The following is a 24,258-nucleotide window of genomic DNA, read 5'->3' on the forward strand; positions in this document are numbered from 1 at the left end:
GGAACATTAGCTGTCCCAATTCCATTACTAGCAGCTGGAAGACAACATAACAGGAGCCAAAGGGTGGGTTGTTTGTTTTTTTAACATTTGCAATAAGATTTCAAAATAGAAAATTTGAATTTGTCAATCTGGGGAAAATACAATCATTTAATTATAGTAATAAAATGTCTCATAATATTACTGAAAAAATCACTGCATTGTCTCTTGCCTAACCACAGTGAGGTCAGAGGGATATTATTTCTTTTACACAGTGGAGGAACTTAAGATTCAGAGAATTTAAGATGCTGAGAGGCAAGCCACAAACAAACAATTGAGATTGAAACTCAGGTTTGTCTCAGTCCAAGGTTTGTCTCAGATATGCCATGTCTATATCATGACATGTATTTTTAAAGGTAACCAGGGAACCAAAGGGAAGGCCTAGAAAATACATATAAACCAAGCAGTGCTCGGGTGCCCTCTGAAACACAATCTTACATTTATGCCTTTAGTATAGTGCTGTCCAAGAGCAATATAATGTAAGCAACATACAGAATTTTAAATTTTTAGTAGCTGCACTTAAAAATGGTAAAAGATAACAAGTAAAATTAATGTATGTATAATCAACATAAAATTGTCAATGGGCTATTTTGCTCTTTCAAAATACTAAGTTTACTAAGTCTTTAAAATCCAGTTTGTATTTTCCACATCTCCATTTAGATTACCCATATTTCAAGTGCTCAAGAGCCCCATGGGACCAGTAGCCACCATACTGGGTAGTACAGTGGTCACAGCTCTTTGCAATGACCACTCATGCTAAACAGCACTGAAAGAAATCATTAGTGTCATTTGAAAGCAACATCTAAGTTTTCACCTGGCAGACCCAGGATTTAGATACAACCCAAGCCATTTGTGTTTCTTCCCCTCAGCTACAATCTAACATCACATTCTTAGTTACAAAGACTTGATACGCTCACTTCTAGTGCAGAACATTCAGCCCTCATTCAGGATACTGTATCCTGCTCAACTCCATGCATACATTCCTTCTTGAAATCAGTGAAAACTCCACATGTGAAACAGAACTGAAACAGACAAGACAGCCCCGCAGTGCAGGTAAACATGAAGCCAATGGGTGGTTTTTCTCCCCTTGTGCTTTGGACAATCAAGGAAAACAAGCCCTTATTTGCTAAATAAAAATGGCTTGGCCATGAACTTCTTTGGTAAGGGAGGTAGGGCTCAGTTGGGGTTCTCACTGATTGCCTGTCTGACAGCAATCTCTCCTGCAGGGAGGACACAGCCCAGAGATGAACACTTAATTGAGAGAGAAATCAGGAGGACTGCTGAACGACTGAGTGATCTTTCAGAGCAAAGCATCACAAGGAAAAGGGAACCAGCTCCAGGGGGAGGGGGGGTGAAAGTTTTCAAGAGAAGGTGAGTAACCTGGGGATCCCATGATGCATGGCTCTGGGAATGAAGGATGGGTCCTCTTCCTCATTCCTGCTCTCTTACCTTCTTCCCTGTATCACTTTCTTTCATCATGCACTCAGCACCTACTCAGCATCTAGCACTGAACACAGAGAGGTAAATACAACATTGCCAGCCTCAAAGGCCTTAATTCAGCCATTAACTACAACCCAGCAGCATTTGTGCTTCAATGGAGGGGTGCACCAAACAGGAGGAGAGGGGAAAGCCTTTCCAAAAATGAAAGAATTTAAATGAGCCTGGGAGGGGGGGAAAAGAGTGAGCAAAGAGAAAGGTATTTTGCAGAATGAGGCTAGCATTTGCAAAGGCACAGAGGTGTCAGAAGCCTGGAGAGTTCAGGGTCCTGCCAGAATTTGGGCTTGGAATGGTGCAGGGGAAAACAGAGGATAAGCTCTTTTCTAATGGGCAGAGGCCATAGCATGAGTGGTAATTCAACATCATCCAAAGGAACTTGATTTTAGTGCCCAAAGGCTAGTTGGACATCTAGAATTTTTGAAATGGGCAAAAAAGAAGACAAAATCTCTATGATTCTGACATGCTTCCATACACAGCAAGGAGTCCAGGAGATAAAAGGAAGGAAGGTGGGCCTCCTAGGCTGCTCAGGTCCAGCACACCTGGGCAACCATTGGTCCTGCCTGCCACACTGGGCCAGGCTGGCTAATCAGGACTGAAAAGCTGGTGAACAGTGCATGTCCTGACCACGAGGTGACTAAAGAAAAGCCAGTTTCAAGGCCTAGTAAAAAGAAAGACTGCCTGGTTCAGAGGGTACAGGAAAAGCACAAGAGAGTGGAGGAGCATACACTTCCAATGCAGAGAAGCAAAGCAGATGATGCCACCTCAGGTTAATTAAATCAAGTGGCTTCAGGTCTGGATCTAACCTTGGCGGCAAACCACCAGGAGAATGTTGATAGGACAACCAAACAGGTATAGATTTTCAAACATGTTTTTGGAGTGTTGGAACACAGAACGAAAAGAGACTGCTGAGAAGGTTCAGGAGAGGGAGGGGATGGAGGAGAGAATAACACAGAAAGGACTTCTCAATCTTGAATGCCTCCAAATTTGGAATGCCTTTTTAAAAATAGTCTTTTGGATCCAAGAACAAAATCACACCAAAATATTAAAAAGATAAGGCAGTGTGAAAAAGTTTACTCCTGAAATGACTCTTAAATACAAATTGGAATGTTACCGACATACCTGCCCCACAAAAAGGTGAAAATTAAAGTCAAATCATTAAATCTGAATATGGTTGTAAAGGTGAAGAGTTGTAGAGATTTATATAACTTTTAGAACACATCCTTTAACCTATTGATTAAATAGGAGAGGAAAGGAATGCCAGTAATATCCAGTGTACTGCCAAATGTCACACTGTGAACCCACAGCATTAAGTATGTAAATCTTCTGATACCAGGTTGTTCCTTCACTTCTTTTCTGGCCTTTCATGAAGAAATCTTTGCTAGTTAGAGGCTAGTGATACAAAGTTGGGCTAAGAAGCTAGTCAAGGTGCCTGTCCTCATGAAGCTTCTATTCTAAAGTGTGGAGGGAGGCCAGGAGTAGTGGCTCATGCCTATAATCCCAGCACTCTGGGAGGCTGAGGCAAGCAGGTCACCTCAGGTCAGGAGTTTGAGACCAGCCAGGCCAACATGGTGAAACCTCATCTCTATCAGAAGATACAAAAATTAGCCTGGTGTGGTGGTGTGTGCCTGTAGTCCCAGCTACTGGGGAGGCTGAGGCGGGAGGATCGCTTGAGCTTGGAGGGCAGAGGTTACAGTGAGCCAAGATTGCACCACTGCACTCCAGCCTGGGTGGGAGGGTAAGACGAAAGAAGGAAGGAAGGAAGGAAGGAAGGGAGGGAGGGAGGGAGGGAGGGAGGGAGGGAGGCAGGGAAGGAGGGAGGGAGGCAGGGAAGGAAGGAAGGAGGGAAGGAGGGAGGGAAAGAAAGAAAGGGAAAGAAAGAAAAAAGAAAGACAGAAGAGAGACAGAAAGAGTGAGTGAGTGCCTGAAGGGGAGAAGTCAGGTAGTAGATCAATAAATAAAAGTGGTAACTGCAGAGCCTGAGCTTGTTAGAAGACACAAGTAGATGATATAATAAATAGTGCCCAGGGAATGTTACCCACTTACCTGCAGAAAGGGAAAGACAAGTTGCAGACAAAGTTAGGAGGCCCCTGAGCTGTCCCTCTGAGGCACTCATCCTAAGGTATGGATGACAAAGACACTGCCATTTAGGCAGGGGTGAGCAGGGATCATGAAACCAATGAGAGCTCAGTAATCAAAGCATGTTCCCTTTTCACTGTCTGCTGAATGCTCTGCTCTAAAACTTTTCATATATGGTACAGGCAACAGAGAAAGTCTTCATGTAAATAACATAACAGAAGTAAACTAAAAGGACTCCAAATTAACATACAGATAAACACAGACTGAAAGGTAAAGTCATTTGACCTCTGGAATTCTCTTTCAGCCCACAGACCAAAAAAAAAAAAAAAAAAAGGTAAATGGTGATCACAAATCCTGATATGTTACGTTGTCAAAGGTTGGCTTGAATGTGGAAATAAACAGTTGAAAAGGGCCAAGCAAGGTGGCTCATGCCTGTAATCCCAGCACTTTGGGGGGCCAAGGTGGGTCATCACTTGAGCCCAGGAGTTCGAGACCAGCCTGGACAACATAGGGAGACCCCTACCTCTACAAACAATACAAAAATGATCTGGGCAAGATGGCGCATGCCTTTGGTCCCAAATACTCTGGAGGCTGAGGTAGGAGAATCCCTGGAGCCCAGGAGGTCGAGGTGCAGTAAGCCATGATTGCAACACTGCACTTCAGCTTAGGTGACAGGGCGGAACCCTATCTCAAAAAAAAAAAAAAAAAAAAAAAGTTGAAAAGTACTTCAAAATTAAAAGAAAAACAACGCATGAAAATCAGCAGAAACTGAGAGTAATGTATAAAGGACCTGCTTCCTGATTTCACGTTTTTAGAAAACTGTAAAAGATTGGAGAGAATCCAGAGAAGGGCAAGTAAAATGATTAAGAGGATGGAAAATGGAGCCTCCGAGGAAAGGTTAAAAGGGTTATGATGGTTTAGCCTGAAAAAGAGAAGGCTAAGGGGTGACTTAATAACTGCCTTCAAGTATATGACAGGTTATTACAAAGGAGATGCCAACAAGTTATTTTCTATAACAAGAGAGGACAGAGGAAATTGCCTTAAATTGCAGCAGAAGAAAGAGAGCTAGCAAGTGAATTGAGTAAGATTCAAGAGTAAGTTCCTTGACCGGACCCAGCTTCATCAAGGGAGGCTGGCGAATTTCTCTTCCTGGAGAGCTTTTTACACAAATAACCCATTCTCTTTGATTATAAATAGCCCTTACTGGGTACAGTGAGGTGGAGTTGAGACCAACTGACCTTCAGCAGTCCTTTCTATGATATTTCAACTTTTGGTTCATAAATGCAGGAAGGCTTTACTAATATTCCATTTCCTACCTTACAAGAGGTTTAAAAAAAATCAAGATCTAGGAAGATCCACACACAATGGGTTTATCAATGATAATACTTTATAACACAATAAAATGGATGCAACTTTTCCACTGATTTTTTATGACAATAAACATAAGCAAAAGAAGAACTAATTAACACAGTTACGCTCATAAGAAAAATTAGCCCAAATGTAAGACAGCCACAGGTCCTGATTCTGCTGAATTACAGATTAAGTGTAGAACTGTCATGCACATGTGCTAAATTCAAGCTGAACACAAGGATTCTGTTCACTTCCTTCAAGAAGAGGCATTTACTGCAGAAGGCTCAAGAACCAATAAAAAAGGTAATTTCGCAGTATCTCCACTGTGTCCCAATCAACCAAAGGGCCGAAGGCAGCTCCATCCTCACCACGCTGTTCTTGCCACCCGGCTGGTTTTCAATTGACACTGCCGTGTATGTATTTCTTTTTTTTTTCCCCAACTTGGGCCTATTGGGGTTTTGTAAAACACTGCAACTCCACACTAGCCTGTTGGTCTCTGTTTGGGCTGTGGTCAAAGGTAAAGGATGATTTACACTCCTAGAGATAACTGGTCTCAGCATTGGCTCTAGGTGGAGGTGAGGATTCTAAATGCAAGAGAAAATTTAAGGTAAGAGGGAGCTGGTCAGGTACTGGGAAAACTTTGGCCACTGGGTTGTTTATCTGTGGTCCTGAAAAGTGATCCTGAAGAGCAAATGCTGATAATCTTGTGAAAATCAAGTGATAAACCACTGTTGGCGTTAAGTGAAAACAGATATTTCCACTTGAGTTCCAGAGAATTCTAAAACCCTACTACCCCAAATGGTAGCAACTAGCCACATGTGGCTATTTAAATTAATTAATTACAATTAAATAAGAATAAAGAAGTCAGTTCCTCAGTTGCACTCACATTTCAGGTGCTCCATAGCTACATTGGCTAGTGGTTACCTCATGGGACTGCACAGATAAATCAACAATTCCATGACCAATGCACAGCATTTTATTGGGCATCTGTTCTAGAATACTGAAGGCTGAGACTTGAAAAATCAGCCAGATAATTAATACAAATGTAGAAACGAAGGCCTCCACAGAGAATGTTACTTGCTCAAATAGTTAATGATCATCTTTCCCCCAACCTCATACCAATGTAGATTGAACTACAGAAGCCTGAGAGAGGTCAGAAGTCACTGAGTCATGGGGGCCTTAGGAAAGACCAAAGACGGGAGTGACTGAACTTAAGGAATTTCCCAGGTACAAAGCATAGAGTATAAACATATTCTAGGAGTAAGATATAGCATAAGCAAAGAGAAGCACTAATCATTTTTGTGGGTTTCTGAGTCACACGTGCCTGACATTTTAGAAGGTCTAAGAAAATGTAGAATAAGAATGGGAGGATAAATTGAGGCTTGCTTTCCAAGGTTCCCGCTTCAGTTCCCTATTCCTTTGTAACAAACTATCCTAAAACGCAGAAGGCTTAAAATAACAATTTGTTTTTTCTCAAAATTCTGGGGATTGGCTGGGCTCAGCTAGGCGATTCTTTGGTTGGGGTAATTTATGCAGCTGCATTCAGCTGGTAGCTCATCTGGGCCTCCAAGATGTGGGTACTTCAGTTCTTCCTGTCTGTCTCTTTCTCTTTCTCATCCTCCCTCCTCTCTCTCCACGTGACCTCTCATCATTCAGCCATTTGGCCCAAGCTTCCTGACACAGCAGTGGCAAGCATGTTCCTACAGAACAAAGAGAAAGCCACCAGGCTTGGAACTGGCACAGTGTCACTTCCACTGCATTCTACTGCCCAAAGCAAGTGAAAAGCGCAGCTGCCCAGAGTAAATGTGAGAAGGCACTTAGACTCTACCTCTTGAAGAAAGGAATGGAAAAGAATGTGTGGCCACTTTTAATCCACCTGATTCCCTGCATGTCAAGCAAGAGAATTTAAGCTCAATTTCCTAAGAAACAGGGAGCAAGACAATGATGCCATCAGAGTTGTGCTTTACAGAGAATAACCAAATTTTGATGAGTGGGATGAACAAAAACAGTGGATACAGAGATCTGTTAAGTGGTTATAATTTTAGCATCACTTAACAACACATTCAGATGTCCTTAGAGGGAATGGGGAAGTCACAAGAACCACTACATAGATAAAAATCAACAGTGATGAGCACCTATAACTGAAGGCACTGGAGAGAAACTGAGCCAACATTCCACATCACAGCAACTAAAAGAAGGATGCATTATTCACCCAAAAGGGAAAAGCTCCCTTAGTATAGATAAGTTTCAGTTCTGGACCAATTGAGGAAAAATCCCTACCCGCAGTTTATGTGCAGAGTCAAAAAGAATAATGATAGCCACAGGCCAATCGAAGTAGACACCAAGCATACAGCCAGATGTACCTTAAGTGCTTTTTAACCTGGTTTCAATCATCACTTACAATTTTTTAAAATTCTGCTGAACAGGTAGCTCCTCTGAATTAGAAAGTTAAACAGCATTTACCATTAGCAAGCCATTATTTGGAGAGCTGAAACCATATACTAAATTACAGGGTATAAGAGATGCTTAGCTAACTGAAACCTGGCCAAAATACTAGGACAAATGCAACTAAATACTAGCCCAGAATTCTGATTAACCACTGCTTCCCACAGCCTTTGTTCATACATCTCTACTGATATAAGCATTGTCCATATGATCCTTTTAGAAGTTTTATTCTGACTGAAGGGGGAGCCAGTACCATTAAGACATCCAATGTTAAGATGGTTAAGACTTTTTGAATAACTGCCCATTCCAATCCAATATCTATTGGGTTCCTACTATTTGTCAAGCACCAAGGATATAGCAGAGAACGTCATAAACAAGGTCCCCACCTTATTGGAACTTACATTCAGTGGCAAAAGTCAAACTGATAGAGACAGGAGGCACAGAAACTTAGACAGGGGCAGGTGTCTGGTGAAGCCCCACCCATTGTTACTTGCCAACATGTGGAAAAAGAACCCAAAAAGCTTCCTTTGGAACATAGTACCCCTTTATCCACATATGTTAATTAATCAAAGCCCACAGATTAATGAGGTAGGAGACCTTGTCTACTGATAGTCTAGCTACTGGGTACTTGAGTTGAAGGCTGATCTCTTCATTTTTATTTTTTACATTTGATAAAATCTTCCCGGTAGCATTTATTATTCCAGTTACGGCTGTCATCATTTTTCCAAGTACCATCATATGTCTTTCCCCATTAGAAGATGTATCAATGCAACAGAAAGAAACTGAAAAAAGCAAGCTGGTGTTCCATCTAAAATGTGTTTTCTGTAATTATATGCACAAACAAATACAAACTAGAAAGAAAACGGACTTTGAGTTAGAGAACTTTGACGGTAACTAGGATTGGTTTCAACCAAAACGATGCACGTGAATAACAGTTAAATTAGTGGATCTGCTTCCCAAATCTTTTTTTCCAGGCACATCCAGGGTATGTCTTTAACAGTCCTGATACTTCAATGAAAAATTGAGGTGCCAATGATTTATAGGTGAAATTAATGTTAAATACTTCAAAGGAGTGGACAAATAAGTCAGCAGCAAAAATTTTATGAGTTCACTTCCTTCAAGGGAACTTAGAGAGCGGGATTTTATTGCTGTGAATTCTGGTCACCCTTTCTACCCCTCAGCATCTGTTTGAAATATGTAGTAGACAATTGCTTTTTTGGCTGTGACTCAGGTGGTGGAAACACAGGACAAACAGACTACTGTATATAAGCTTTCCTCCAGCACTGAAAAATTTTATTAACTCTCTTGCATAGCAAACGTGGCGGCTGCTCAGTGCCCAATCTCTGCAGCATTATCAAGGAATTTGGCTAATTATGAATCGTGCTGGCCAAGCAAGAGGTGACCATGTTGAAACTTGTCAACTCGATATTTTCTCACATTTCAGAACAAGCAGGGAAACAACAACAACAACAAAACCTTATATTCTGTTTAGTTCATCATTCCTATGTGTAAAATTCCAAGTTAAATATTACATGTGAGCTTGCTACATAAATATGTCAGTCTTGCCACCGAGGCCAGCCAAAACAAACAGTTTCAAGCAGTCCCACAGTTTAGAGCGGTAGAGTTTTCATAGAAGCCATGCACTTGCCCCCTTTTAATCAGTTTTTTAAATTTTTCTCCCATGACAATAGAAAAGTTAGAAAGTAGTCCACAGAGAGTGTGGAGAAAGGGCTTGCTCTCCTTCACAATGGCGACTGTGAGAAGATCAAGGGCTGAATGTCTGCCTGGCAGAACATGAGTCTGTCTGTAAAATTCTGCACAGACGAAAGCTCAATCCCATGCCATCAGTCCAATCCCCAAATAAAGAAACAGAGTTGGTTCCAAAGTAATGAGTAGCCTATATAATCAGATGGTTTCTCTTCCATGTTAGGGCTAGAAATAAACATGGATGCTACCTACAACTTAGACTGCTGTACTTATTTATTTATTTTTATTTTTTATTTTTTTTTGAAACAGAGTCTTGCTCAGTCGCCCAGGCTGGAGTGCAGTGGCGCAATCTCGGCTCACTGCAAGCTCCGCCTCCCGGGTTCATGCCATTCTCCTGCCTCAGCCTCCGGAGTAGCTGGGACTACAGGCGCCCGCCACCACGCCCGGAGAATTTTTTGTATTTTTAGTGGAGACAGGTTTTCACCATGTTAGCCAGGATGGTCTCGATCTCCTGACCTCGTGATCTGCCCGCCTCGGCCTCGCAAAGTGCTGGGATTATAGGCGTGAGGCACAGCGCCCGGTCCCGACTGCTCTATTTAAAGTAATGAAAGCACAGTTGGCTCCAAAGGAGAAAACACATTGCTAGAAACAGTGAATGGAATTTGAACAGAAACTTCCCAATATTAATTCCCAGAGACTAATACATTTTTATAGAAAGTCTATTCACAAAAGGGGAAAGATTATTTTCACCAAAATCTTGTAGCTAATCTCTTCACGTGTACACATTTTTTAGAGACCTGTTTTATGTTTTCTTATAATAAATCTATTGACCATTTTTTCAATGAATAAAGCTTACTTTCTCCCTTCATTCGGAAACTAAGAAATGTTTTATCATACAACCAACAGCAAACTTTCTTTGAACTTCAAATCCAATGTCCCCCCTCTTCCTACATTCCAGCGCATTATACTTGAAATTATTTGCCTCCAAAGTTATAAAGAAAAAAGAGAGTAGTTAAGATGACCAGAGTTACAACTGTTATTTTCTTCCTTAAACCAATTTACATAGCCCTTAAACAAATTTACATAGCCTTTTTCCTAGCTATCCCAAAATGTAGATTCTTCAAGGAATATTTCAGGCATTTAAACGGAAAGTGAACTCCCATGAATTTTGGCAAAAATAATGGAAACAAGGACTGAAACAAAAATATCCAATAAAACACTTTCTCTTTCCTGAAAGGGATGGAAAGGAAATAAAACACACCCTGAAAAGAAGATGATTTTATAAAACGTTACTAGGAATAGCTTTTACCAAATTGAAAGCTATTTTTTTGTAAAAAAAAAAAAAAAAAAAATCAAAACCTGTTTCCCAGAATGACTTCTCTAAAATCATCAGCAGCTCACGAATGTTTTTGTGTTTAATGAACGTTTACCTCATTTAAGCTTTCTTTATATTCAAAAAATTAAGGAGACCAATTCTGCCAAAAGGCATTTTTAATCATTTCGAATAAAAAACAAGTCAGTCACAAAGGACTAACCAGACATTTCAAAAGTGGTAATAATTTTTTCTTAGGTGTGAGAGCTGGTTTCGCTATATAAAAATTTCTATTGAAATGTTTGTTTTAACTAATGTATACCTTCCTTCCATGGGAGAAATTTCTTCGAAGACAGAAGTTTCTTGTCTTAATGGCTGGTTCTAAACCCCACCTTGCCTTGCCTTAAATTTGCCATGTGGTCCATGGAGGCAAACTAGGAGGGGGACAGGTGTCGATTTAAGCCAAACAAAACAAAAAAAGAAAAAATATGGCCAGAATGGTCTAGACATCACCCACCCAGAGGCATCCGAGACAACCAGAATGCCACATGGCATGCCACGAACCACTTGGAGGTCTGTGCAAAATTCATAGGTGAGGCAGGCAACAGGCTCCATCAGCCACCAGTCCAGGTTGTAGAATGAGAAGCAACGTGATCATCAAGTAACTGTGTTGCTGGTGGTAACAGAAGCACCACGTTTGAGCAACTGAACTCAATCTTTCACTTTGTATGAAGACAGAAGGCTAAACATTCTCACTGGATTGCTTGACATTAAGAAAACAAGTTCCCCAAAAGAATGACTCCAGGTTAAAACATTAGCCAAATTCTGGTGACCAATAATATCTTGGGAAGTAACAATCACTCTGAGAAACACTTAAGAAGACAGCCCAATACTTAGCGCCTCCTTGGCCCACTTGCCATTTTCTGTGTAGTATGTGCAGGGAGTCTTCCAGGAAAATGGGGGCACAGACACAGGAAGAAAAGGCAGCCCTTGCCTTCAAGGAGCTTACAGTCTTATGAGAGGAAAAGACAAGTACATGAGAGGAACACAAGCAAGTGGGGGGTGACAAGAGCCGCTAGCGTGACCATCACAGAGCCATGAATCATTAATGACACCTGGAAACCTGTTACGGCCCCCATCTTCCAAAGATTCACGCAGTTCCATTCTTTAAACTTTTCTTGAACTTTCTGTGTAATTAAACACCAAATTTGGCAACCCATGCTAATTTTGAAAGGCACTCCCTGGGAATTTAGTAAAAAGTTTAAACAACTTGTTTACATGTGTTTGGCCCATCTGTTTAAACTTCTTGTTTATTTTAATAGGAGCAACTCTTGGGTGCAAGCTCCTTTTGTGCTTGAGACCACTACTGGCCTCTTCTCCAGCTCTGTTTCCCTAATCTGCATTCTAAATCTCTTCTGTAAACAAAACTTGAATAACAACTTTTTATGATAAATGCTGAACACCTCCAAGATGACTGCTGCAAAATAAACTACTTTTACAACCAGAAAGCATTCTAAACACACAGAAAATACTTTTTTAATGCTGTCCTTTTCTTAAAAAAACAAAAAGCAAAAACAAAAACACACACAAAGAATTTTATTTTCTCTGTGTGTGTGTCTACATATATATGTTCTTGACGATCCTTCTGAATTGTGTGCATTCCCATCATGCTCCAGTGTTTTTCCAGCCCCGTAATGCCCTCACTTTTGATTGTGGAGATGATGTTGAAGTGCACAGGGTATTTACTGATCCGGTTATCTTGTTCTGTGACAGGCAGAATCAATCAATCAAGAGGCCAGCTTTGCACTTACATATTCCAGGCACATCTCCGCACTTCAGGATACGAGATCACAGTGTTATCCAGCCAAATTTGATCAACAAATGCAGTTCCCCTGTGCCACAGCAATCTCAGATGAAGATGTTATTATGTGGAACTGAGCAAAGTGATAAAGACAGTACAGCAGAGCCTGGAGAAGCCCGGCTGGACCGCACTGACAGCTTTTATATACGAAGGCGGTGATGTCCCTTTCTTTCAGATTATAAAAGTTCCCTTGATTTGAAGAAAATCACTCTGGACATATACAGGTGACCCCCAACCATTGCGTTTCCCCATCTATAACTAAAATCCTCAAGGAAGAAGCAACATACATTAGTATAACATTGCAGGCAAAATCCTTTAATAACAGGGCAGTATTTAAAGCGTAAGAGAGCACGTGTGAATTTTCAGAGAGCTTTTCTGATAGTTTCTTGTTGATGTTGTTATTATTATTGATTATTATTATTTGGTGAAAGCTAATGTCGGAAAGATGAAAAACATGGTTTTAGAACTTAATCAGTTACAAATAATTTTATTTATATCAAATCTCTGACACTGTGTGTCAGTGTCAATATTTTAAGTGGATCCCAAGAAAGTCTTAAGAGGATGTCTTACTGCACCAATAGCTTTCACTTCATTACTGCCCTGCAGTTATTTTACATTATTTAATCCCAAATCCCATCTTTTGGATTCTACCTTCCTCTTGCATTTTAAATCTTTAATGGGAGCCTCTGGCGGTCCATGGGTACAATGATTAGATACCTGCAGAGAGAAACTGAAAAATTAATCGTGGTTTCCATTTTATATTTTTGTATTACACTAAAAATTACTTACTTGTAGAGCTAACTTCTACACTCCTGCAATATGTTCCTTAACATTGCAAATGCTGAGAATGATTTCAGATAAAGCATGTCCAAACTGAGCCAGTAAACAGCCTTAAGTTATTCTTTGAGATTTGTATGCTGGGTTTTCATCCAAATTTCATTTCAAATAATTTTAATTAAGACGCATTTATTGATAGAGGTTTGTTACATGTGGCCTAAAACCAGGGCAAGAGTACCCCAGGCTAATCATAGGAATGACGTTAAAATTGTTTATTATCCTTTTATGAATTTTCCTGCTTAAATTACCGAATTTCGCAACTCTATGCAAAATGTGAAACACTGTAACCACATACAGTTTATTATAGAAACTGATGTATGCATTAATCTGACCTTTACCTAAATACCTCCTTAACCACAAGGAATGAGTTTAAAAGAAAAAAAAAACAAAACAAAGTCAGCTATCACATCATGAGTACCATCAAACTGCTAAATCTATTAACTTTGTTTTCTTTTTTCACTATTATTAAACTGGAAAGAAAAATTCAACTGGAAAATTGTGCCTTGTCGGTTCCCTTGTCATCATGTAATAAGTATGAGAAATATATGTGCAATGGCCAAATGGCCGGTAGACAAAACACCCACTCTAAGTGACGTACTGTTTTCCATACCACTCAGACAAAATCAAAACAACAGAACTGCTGCAAACAAAAACAAAATAACATTTCCCATCAGCATTCCAGACAGAAAATTTACAGGAAAAGAAGCTGGGAAAAGAACCAGAATGAAATAACTGCTCATACCTCCACTCTTGGTAGAGCCATTTCTTCAGACAAACAGCACTTACTTGAACAGTGAAATGTTTAACAATTGATAAAATGTTTGCCAGTGCTGGAAAACTTTTTTCCCCCGTTTTTAGGCAAACATTTGCACTGTTTAAAGTGATGAAGTACTTCTATAGAACCAAGGGGCCTAGATTTTTCTTTTTTTAAACAGGGGAAACTTAAGATAAGGAAAGAGACAGGTTATAGATGGGTACAGAGGTAACTTTGCGATTTAATTACTTCTCCTTTCACAGAGAAATAGAGAAGAGTTTCTCAGTGCTGCTGAGCCCGCATGGGAGGAGAGCGTAAAACTCACTTGAAAAAGTGAAGATGAGCTCTTTTTACAGCTGAGTCACATTTATGTAACTTGATTAAGGTGCCAGCATCCTGGAAGTTACTGGATCAGGGTTAAGCATAGATACCTGCTCATAAACTGAGGTGGTGCCGTGACTATCAACAGCTGTATTTGACTATTTCATCGAGTCAGTTTACAGTGTCTCCATCACAGTGGACGCCTGTCAGCTGCACTCTTGCTAACACAATTCCTGTGTTTTGCCTGGCAGTAAATGGACGCCTCTGCCCTAGCGTCTTCTAAACAACTCCGTTAACATTTGCCCCCGAGCGTCTCTCTCTTTGTCCAGTCCCTGTCTTCTAACAGATGTCATCCAAGCCTAATCAAGCATAAAATGGTCATAAATATTTCTTTCTGGTAGATTTCACATTCACATTTCATGCAGGGACATGATATTTTTCTGCTACCTCCAGGGAGAGCCTAATGCAAAAACCAGTTACTTACATTCTAGCCTCATGTTCCTTTAGTAAAATGCAGAGCATGTTCTCAGTTCAAAGACATAAAAAGGTGTAAGACTTTATCTTCTGGCTTTTGTTTAACTGCACCTTTTATCTTTCCTTCCTCCCCCACCGCCCCCCGCAAATGTATCTTCATCTTATAGTTTATCCTGATGCATTAGAAATGTTCTTTTGTGCCTGAGAAAATATAAAACAGGGTCTAAAATGAGCCCATGTCTACCATATTTCAGTTACTTTAGGTTTTCAACATTAGGCTCCTTAATTACTGGCTAAAAAATTACTGGCAAAAAAAAAAAAAAAAGATTTTTTGCTCAGATATGTAATTCAAATAACAAGCTATTTAAAGAGTAGATAAGAAGAAGGCTCTTCTATTTTGGTTCATTTTACGCACAATTTTGCAACCTCCATCATATTTAGTTAAAACGATGGGATGAATCGAATGTACAAATTTAAGTTTCATGCCAATTAGCATTGAAAAAAGAAAAGATAATCACGAGATAGGCCCCATTTCCAATACTTAAACTTTGATCAAGCAGGGGGAGCTACTCCAGATAATTAATCAGCCTGCTTAATGAGAGGAGAACTGGTAATCAGCACAATCGTATTTATCTTCAGCAAACTTAGTAAATAATGAGTCTTAATCTAAAATAAAACTGTCCTAATAATACTTTCAAGGCCATATGTCTGTGTTTCTCTTTCCTATCCCTTTTGTCAAAACAAAAATCTTATATTGCTATTTAAAGTGAACTGCAAAACACTTAGCGGTATATATCACAACAATGACGCTCCCCCCACGCCCTCACTCCGTTGAGCCTAATATTTGATTACTGCTAGTCAAATCAAGCTTTCAGGCAAATAATCTCCATTTTTAAAGTTAATGAGATATGGTCATGTCGACAACAGCTTGCAGAAACTTTTAATTTTAATTCCTGCAGGCTGTGCTGGCCTCTTTTACAGCAACTACTGTATGAATGAGTCAAATTTGCCAACATGGCTTATGTAGACAAGTGCACACTAATTAAAAATACCCACTGGTATCATAATTTAAATACCATGAAAATAAACTGTGAAAGTCGCTCGGATCCAGTCTTCATGGTTTCCTTGGAGTGTGCTTCTTTTGACTATAGGATGTTTTATTGCTCGCGTATTCTTAGCTGAAAACCATTTTGCATCTTTGAGGAATTTGGGATTTTGATGTAATTATACAATTTGTGTTAATATTTGTTTCGCATAAGCTGTTAAGCAGGCCTCCCAGAACGACCACTAATTGAGAAAACCATATTGCTGAGGCATGCGGCAAATTTATACTCTTGATTCAGCGTCCATCTACAACTTCCTTCCATGGGGCCGTCTCTTTCCTCTCTGAGCTCCAGCCACAATGAATTCAAAATAAAAACACAGTTGTTTTAGTCCGTCTTTCTTTTCTTCTTTTTGTTTGAGTTTTCACTCTTTATAATATCTGTACTTTAACTGGTCTTCTTCCAAACCAGGAAGGCGGGCATGATTCTTCACCTAAAACTAACTGCAAAATGCTGCTATAACTTCTTTTCAGCCATCCATCCATCCAGCCTTCCATCCATTCATACAAATACACACTCACTTTTTTTTTTTTTTAATTTAAATAATTTTTTGGCTAGGGAATTTCTGAGTCTGCCTTTGCTGGGATAAAAGTACATTTTATACAGGGTAAAAAGTTGGCATCGTGAGGGTTAAAGCTATTTGAGGGGTTAAATATGCAATTACCGCTCACTAAAACCAGAGAGACATATAGATAAATAGAAGAAATGAAGTCCCCAGGTTCCCTTCAGAAGCCTCCATCACATTACTACCAGACAGAAACTCTTTAAGTACCATTTTCAGATGTTAAATCATTGTTCGCGCTGCACATATTTTCGCTATTCCTGGGGGAACAATATCTGAAGAGAGCGTGCTAACAAATGCAATCCCGTAAACAGGCATTTTTCCTCTTGTTGTTAGTACCTTTGTATTCCCGCTCCCGGCTCTGTCATCCATGGCTTCTCTCTGCTTTGAAGTTAAAGTACTGAATGAGCAGTGTCATCTATTATCCAGAGTGTGCATGTAGATTATAAATAAGAAATAAAAGTGACTTTCAGTACACTGCTTTTGCATTAGCAAGTTGCCTCCTCTCTTACCTCCTCTGTCCTTCATACTTGCAACCAACAATCTATTAGCAACCTGAATTTCAGGGTTTCTTTCAGAGGGAGACACAGACTGGAAAATGTGTATGTAACAACGTGAAAAGTTGTATTGACACACAGGGCTGGGGTCTGGGCCAGGCCTCTGCATTCACCTTTTCTATCTTTAACCCTATCTTACAGATGTCCTTCAGGACGTGTGTCTGGTGATGGGACCGGCTCTTCATTTACATTTTTCTGTTGACAAACAGAGTCCATGAATATTAATTATTCTGAAGTTTATTTGCAGAAAAGGCACTTTCTAATCCTTATCAATTATTTATTAAAAATCTCCCCCACCTAATAATCTCATTAACATTATTATACTAAGGCCAACAGCAAATATTCCTTTGATAAGTAACAACCCAACCTGCTATCCTTCCTGCCAAATCTCATGTAGCCTCCTTTGCTTAATCATGGATATCGTGGCTTTTGTTTTCTGGAAGCTCGAGGGTAGTCCTCCATTACTTTTTTTTTAATACAAGAAAATTCACAAACAGTGCCTTTTGTTATAAAATGAAAAGTTTCTGATACATTACACTAAAGGAAAAGAACAAAAATCTTGGAAAAATAGAATATGCCTGCTTTTTAATGCCCTGTTGGTTATGTGCAGAATTACTCAACAGAAATCCCAAGGAACTAAATCCCTGCAGTCCTACAACAACATGAAGGGTCTCGAGGGAATCCATCGGGTTTCAAAATATGTGAGAGTCTCAAAGAATGTAAAGCAAATGAAAATCGCATCCAATAATGGTGACACCTACATTTATGTAGTGTTTCATTGCTTACCAGGCATTTTGACCTATAACACTTCACTTGCTTCCTCTAATACTCCTCTGAGGTGTGCAGGGCAGTTATTATTAACCTTATTTTACAGATGAAAAAACTGAGGCTAAGCAACTGCCTAAGGTCACCAGGACAGAAGGCAGGAGGGCAGGGACTCCGAATCCTAGGTTTTCTCACCAAGAGTTTTGCATCCCACCTTGTTGATTGGTCCTGTGTTCAAAATGAGGATTTCCTTCTATCTTCCTTCCCTCTTCCTTCTGGATTCACTGTTGGTATTTTTACTTGTTGCTGGGAAATTTCGTTAGCTGCCTGGAATTCCATTTTTAAAGGGCTGCCCTGCCCACTGATTTGTGAGGTACCACCTTCCCCCAAAATTACTGAAGCGCCAATTGTCTCAAACTGAGTCTGATTTCTAGTTTACTCAGAAACTTAAGATAGGAGAAGCAACATACAGTTTCAGAGGCAAAAGTAAACTTAGAAATGAAGTCGTATCCAGAGGCTCAAAGAGTGAGTGACTTGCTTCAAATCACAGGGTAAGTTACAGCAGCAACACTCAGGCTGGCTGAAACCTCTATCAACATTCTCAGATTTTTCGCAAGAGCCCATGCATTTTGCAAACTTGAGAGATTGCTTTTTTTTCCCTATTGGTCCAGAGGTCACCTTTTTTCCCCCTCTACTGAAAGTTTCTCATCTATTGCCTAAGAAAATGAGTCAGTATCCCTAAAGATTTCTGAAAAATCATCATAGTTGGATAGGAATAATCAGCCAGTAAGATATTTCATGAGACTGTCTCAACCCCAGTCTCCATTCTCTTCTCCTCACCATCACTACCCAATCAGCCTGACTCTATTCACAAAATTTCTAGAATGGGAACTGCCTCAATTTAGAAAAAAAAGAAAAAATTCACACACACACACACACACACACACACACACACACACACTTTTTGCCTTAGTTCTTGCCCTGCATAAAAAGTCCTGCAAGCATAGGATAGCATGATCTTCTGATGCAACATATTAGCTGTCATACATTAGTAAAACCATACATTAGACATGGAGAAGCAGAAGGCCTAGGCCAAAGTTAAGATGCTACACATTCCAGTTAGAAATTCAGTGAAAGGCAACTTTAAAGTGAGGGTGGGGGTGTGGGTGACAATAGGCCAGTTCATGAAGACTATGAATATCTAGTAAGGAATTACCGAGGTTATCTCCTGCATGGCTGATAACAATTAGATGTGGAGATGAGGGCTGAAGTCATCTCACCAGGGATTGCTGGCATATTCTGGGAAGTCTAAGCCTCTTTCCAACAGCATTCAAGAAAACATGGGCTTGAAGTCATCAGGAAAACCACAATGAAGGAAGCTTTAAGGAATGGGAGTTGGGAAACCAACCATGGTGGGAAGGATGAAATGGGGAAGTTTTTGTTGTAATTGTTGTTGAAGAAGAAAGTGACAAAATAAAGTTACCAATCTTACAGTATCATGTGATTAGCAGGGGAACTTTACCACCCTCTACACAGAAAAAATACCCATCTATGCATGGTCTAGGAAGGGTTTTGCAAACTACTGCCCTAGTCCTCTGTTTTTGTAAGTAAAGTTTTACTAGAACACAGACAGATCCATTATTTATGTAAGATCTATAGCTGCTTTCATATGGAGTATTTGTGACAGAAAGAACAGCCTCCAAAGCCAAAAACAATTTTTTTACTACTTAAAAGAAAATTTAGAGTTTACAGATCCTTATTGTAGAAAGATTACTGTGGAGGGGGGAAAAACCCACTTCCCAATAACTGATAGTGAGAATTTAAGAGTAAGCTGGGTGCAGCGGCATGCACCTGTAGTCCCAGCTACTGGGGAGGGTGAGGCAGGAGATTTGCTTGAGCCCAGCTGCCTCTAAATAGCCACTGCACTCCAGCCTGGGCAACACGGCAAGATCCTGTCTCAAAAACAAACAAACAAACAAAGGAAACCAGGAAAACACAGACATACATGTACATAGTAATACACACATACCCTATGTATGAATTGTTGTTGTTAATAGTGTCAGTACCATAGAAATAAAATTCCTGATTTCATCCATCTTCACAGATCATGGAAGGGTCCACATCATACCCCACAAGACTGTTTCTGAATACATCAGGGGTATCCATGCAAAAGTTAATCAAAGGACAAAGCCTTTATTCTGTCTGAGCTTAGTTTCTTCATCCATAAAATGTGAGTCTGGATCATCTAAGGAATTTTAGAAATGCTATGACTCTACAGATAAGGAATAAGGAGCAAAGCGAATACACAATGTATGCACATGCATACACACACACACACACACACACACACACACACACACACACACCCCAATATACCCCAGGGTAGGAAGAGAAGGGTAGAAGAATCAAGGACACAGCAGATTGCAGGTATGACCAAGTTGGAGTACATAAATGTTTTTTTTTTTTTTTGAGATGGAGTCTCGCTCTTGTTGCCCAGACTGGAGAGCAGCGCCATGATCTCAGCTCACTGCAACCTCCGCCCCCGGGTTCAAGCCATTCTCCTGCCTCAGCCTCCCCAGTAGCTGGGATTACAAGCGCCTGCCACCACGCCTCGCTAATTTTTTGTGTTTTCAGTAGAGACGAGGTTTCACTATATTGGCCAGGCTGGTCTCGAACTCCTGACCTCGTGATCCATCCGCCTTGGCCTCCCAAAGTGCTGGGATTACAGGCTTGAGCCACCGCACCCGGCCTATTTTGGACTTTCAAAGTAGCTTGAGGGGCAAATATGTAAGCCACCCAGAAACATGCATGTACTTCATTTCTCATTCTGGGAATCAAAAGAGCTTGACTTACTTCTTTGGCCCATCAAGTGTGTCTCTTTTTTGCACTGACAACACGTATGTGGCCACGATGACACCTTCAAGGAATGGAGGCTCCCTGCCTCTCCAATAGCAGCCCCAAAACTGGGAGATTTTCAATTGATGACTTTTCTTCAAATAAGATTGCTTTTCAGCCTTTTCCACTGTTCTTTTCAAAAGCAGACCCATCAGCTTGTTTTTCAAAGGTGAGAGAGAGATAAAGACAGACTAAAAATGATCCTCTGTAGCCTAGTTAGTTGGGCTTTTGTGCTGATCCAGAATGGTGACCAACTAAGATGTTAGTGATTTCATGGTAAAGCAAGGACTCACGGACTCCGGGTAATCAGCTGACTTCATAAAATAAGCCAGGAAAGGTAAAGACTTTCCTAAACCGGAAACAAATATATGCTTTTGCTGCTAGGGAAATGTACATAGTTTGACTTGTAGGTTATGAATCTTTAAAACTCCTACCCTAAGTCCCATCATACCTCGTTTGTGAGTACTATCTTTTATTTATCGTGCTAAGCAATTGTTCTTTGTTGACTGGAGCAGTGTTCTATGTGAGCAAAGCAGGTGAGACACAGACACAGGAACACAAAATACCACTCAGGGAGCAAAGGACATTTTCTCAACAGAGCTAATCACTCTTGAAGCAAAATAATCCACTCTCCCCAGTTATTAAAATAACGAAAGTAACTGTGGCAACTTCAAAAGGACTAACTCATTAATCAGTGAAGCTGGGTGAATAATTTCCTCAAGAAACACAAGGTACCAGAAATATTTTATCCAAATACATTTTTGTTGGTCAGAATAGGGTTCAAGCCTGTTACATAATCCTAAGAAAACACAGAAGGTATTTCCCTCATCCTGTCAGTGTGTGACAGCTGTTTGGGGCACCTGGAGAAAGTCTACAGTTTAAGTCTTCGGGTTCCATGTTCCCAAACACAAGGGCAATAAAGGGGACCATGTCAAACTCAAAATAGCTGCTTTTCAGTTGTCTATAAAATACCAGTTGCAACCACCACTACTTACTTGCAATTTATTATGTGCAGCCTTATTAATAAACCCAGATTTCCGCGTTCTTAGAAGCAATACTTCCATCCCCCTGACCAGTCAAAGGAGACAGCAATCAGAAAAGTTTTCTGTGCTGGAGGTATGGTTCAGATCCTTCAGGACCCTAATGCCTTAGCTTTATTGCCTATAGCATGCTGCAAACGTCACCACCAGAGGCACTGCCGAATTTCTGCTATTTCTGGATAAAACAAAGGCCTGCTGGCTGGGCCTGGTGGCATGTGCCTGTAGCTTCACCTACTTGAGAGGCTCGGGTGGGAGGATTGCTTGAGCCCAGGAGTTCAAGGCTGCAGTGAGCTATGATTGGACTACTGTACTACTCCAGCCAGGGCAACAGAGCAAGAGGCTATCTCAAAAAAAAAAAAAAAAAAAAAAAAAAAAGAGCCGGGGGGCGGGTGCGGTGGCTCACGCCTATAATCCCAGCACTTTGGGAGGCTGATGTGGGCAGACAGCTTGAGGTCAGGAGTTCAAGACCAGCCTGGCCAACATCGTGAAACCCCATCTCTACTAAAAATACAAAAAATTAGCCGGGTGTGGTGGTGGGCGCCTGTAGTCCCAGCTACTAAGGAGTTTGAGGCAAGAGGATCAATGGAACCTGGGAGGCGGAGGTTGCAGTGAGCCGAGATCGTGCCACTGCACTCCAGCCTGGGCAACAGAGCAAGGCTTGTCTCAAAAACAAAAACAAATGAAAAAAAGGAAGAAAGAAAACAAAGGCCTTCCAATCAAAGTGTTTTAGAAACAGATGGAATCAGGCTAACTTCGGTCTGACGGTGCCAGGCTTGGGTGTTCACTGGAAGGACACACTGCAACAGGTGTGAAGCAGGACTCTCTCCCGTTGAAATGAAATGAAACCAACCTAAGTTACAAGGCGCAGTTGCTTAAGAGTAAAATTAGGTACATCTGCTACAAATAAGGGCTCCATCTGAAAATAGGAGAGGGTGGAAATGGAAAAGCTGCTGTCTATGGGAATACTTAGTATTTGCTTTCTGAACTCAGCAAGAAAAGTTGGGTTGAAGTGGAATGATTCTGAATGACAAAACATTTCAGGAAACTCAATGGGGAAGGAGAGCAGGCAAAATGGGAGAAATCCTTTCAGAATGAACTGATCATCACCACAATAAACAAACACAGTAAGAGATGCTTGAGAGCTCTGATGAAGAGCTCAGGCTCTGGAGTCGGGCAGATGTAGGGTGAAATCTGGGCTTGTCCAGTCGTAAGCTGTGTGAACGAGCGTGGGCAGCTAATTAAGTTTCTTCCTGTGTAGAACAAGTATTTTAAAAGTACTTAGCTCACAGGGTGCTTGTGAGAAGGAACTGTACTAACACAGGTACAGTACTAAGCATGAGTATGGAGAGCAGAGGCTTTCCATAAATTTTCCATTGCTATTATTATTACTTCTACTACTCTTACTACTAATAATACTGATAGTTTATTTTCTTTTCTTTCTTTCTTTTTTTTTTTTTTTTTTTGAGAAAGGGTCTCGCTCTGTTGCCCAAGCTGGAGGGCAGTGGTGCGATCATGGTTCACTGCAGCCTTGACCTCCCAGGCTCACCTTTCATCTCAGCCTTCCTAGTATCTGGGACCACAGGCATGTGCCACCACACCTGGCTATTTTTTATTTTTAGTAAAGATGAGGTCTCGCTATGTTGCCCAGGCTGGTCTTGAACTCCTGGGTTCAAGAAATCATCCTGCCTCGGCCTCCCAAAGTGCTGGGATTTACAGGTGTGAGCCACCACACCCAGTCAGTCTTTTTTTTTTTTTTTTTGAGAGAGTCTTGCTCTGTCACCAGGCTGGAATGCAGTGGCGCGATCTCAGCTCCCTGCAACCTCCGCCTCCCGGGTTCAAGCAATTCCCCTGCCTCAGTCTCCCAAGTAGCTGGGATTACAGGCACGTACCACCACACCTGGCTAATTTGTTTGTATTTTAGTAGAGGCGGGGTTTCACCATGTTGGCCAAGATGGTCTCAGTCTCCTGACCTCGTAATCCACCCGCTTCGGTCTCTCAAAGTGCTGGGATGAGAGGCGTGAGCCATCGCGCCCGGCCAGTAATTTCTAACCCATAAACATCTTTGACAGCTGGGTGCAGTGGCTCACTCATGCCTGTAATCACTGCATTTGGGAGGCCAAGGCAGGTGGATCACTTGAGGCCAGGAGCTTGAGACCAGCCTGGTCAATGTGGTGACACCTTGCCTCTACTAAAAATACAAAAATTGGCCGGGTGCGGTGTCTCAAGCCTGTAATCCCAGCACTTTGGGAGGCCGAGGCAGGCGGATCACGAGGTCAGGAGATCGAGACCATCCTGGCTAACATGGTGAAACCCTGTCTCTACTAAAAATACAAAAAAATTAGCCAGGCAAGGTGGCAGGCGCCTGTAGTCCCAGCTACTTGGGAGGCTGAAGCAGGAGAATGGCAGGAACCTGGGAGGCGGAGCTTGCAGTGAGCCAAGATCGCACCACTGCACTGCAGCCTGGGCGACAGAGCGAGACTCCAACTCAAAAACAAAAAACAAACAAACAAAAAAAAAACAAAAATTATCTGGGTGTGGTGGTGCATGCCTGTAATCCCAGCTACTTGAGAGGCTAAGGCATGAGAATCATTTGACCCTGGGAGGCACTCTGTCTAAAAAAAAAAAAAAAAAATTGACAAGATGTTCAGGATTTTCAATAAAAGGAA

At 41.0% G+C, this 24,258-nt stretch overlaps 1 protein-coding gene across 11 annotated transcripts in view, besides 2 other annotated features; it reads right to left on the reverse strand.

Moving 5' to 3' along the window:
- Positions 1–24,258, reverse strand: part of FOXP1 (forkhead box P1) — a 629,271-nt gene that overhangs the window by 200,097 nt on the left and 404,916 nt on the right. The gene's annotated exons all lie outside the window — the stretch shown is intronic.
- Positions 1,876–2,581: an enhancer, noted in NCBI's record as "H3K27ac-H3K4me1 hESC enhancer chr3:71205831-71206536 (GRCh37/hg19 assembly coordinates)". NCBI's record gives its function as "activates a minimal SCP1, AML or CMV promoter by ChIP-STARR-seq in primed H9 embryonic stem cells {active_cell/tissue: H9 hESC(primed)}" and the evidence as "EXISTENCE:reporter gene assay evidence [ECO:0000049][PMID:30033119]".
- Positions 10,923–11,072: a silencer, noted in NCBI's record as "fragment chr3:71214878-71215027 (GRCh37/hg19 assembly coordinates)". NCBI's record gives its function as "represses an EF-1alpha promoter that drives an FKBP-Casp9 reporter gene in an ReSE screen in K562 erythroleukemia cells {active_cell/tissue: K562}" and the evidence as "EXISTENCE:reporter gene assay evidence [ECO:0000049][PMID:32094911]".

The sequence above is a fragment of the Homo sapiens genome, chromosome 3, assembly GCF_000001405.40.
Source record: "Homo sapiens chromosome 3, GRCh38.p14 Primary Assembly".
NCBI classification, from domain to species: Eukaryota; Metazoa; Chordata; class Mammalia; order Primates; family Hominidae; genus Homo; species Homo sapiens.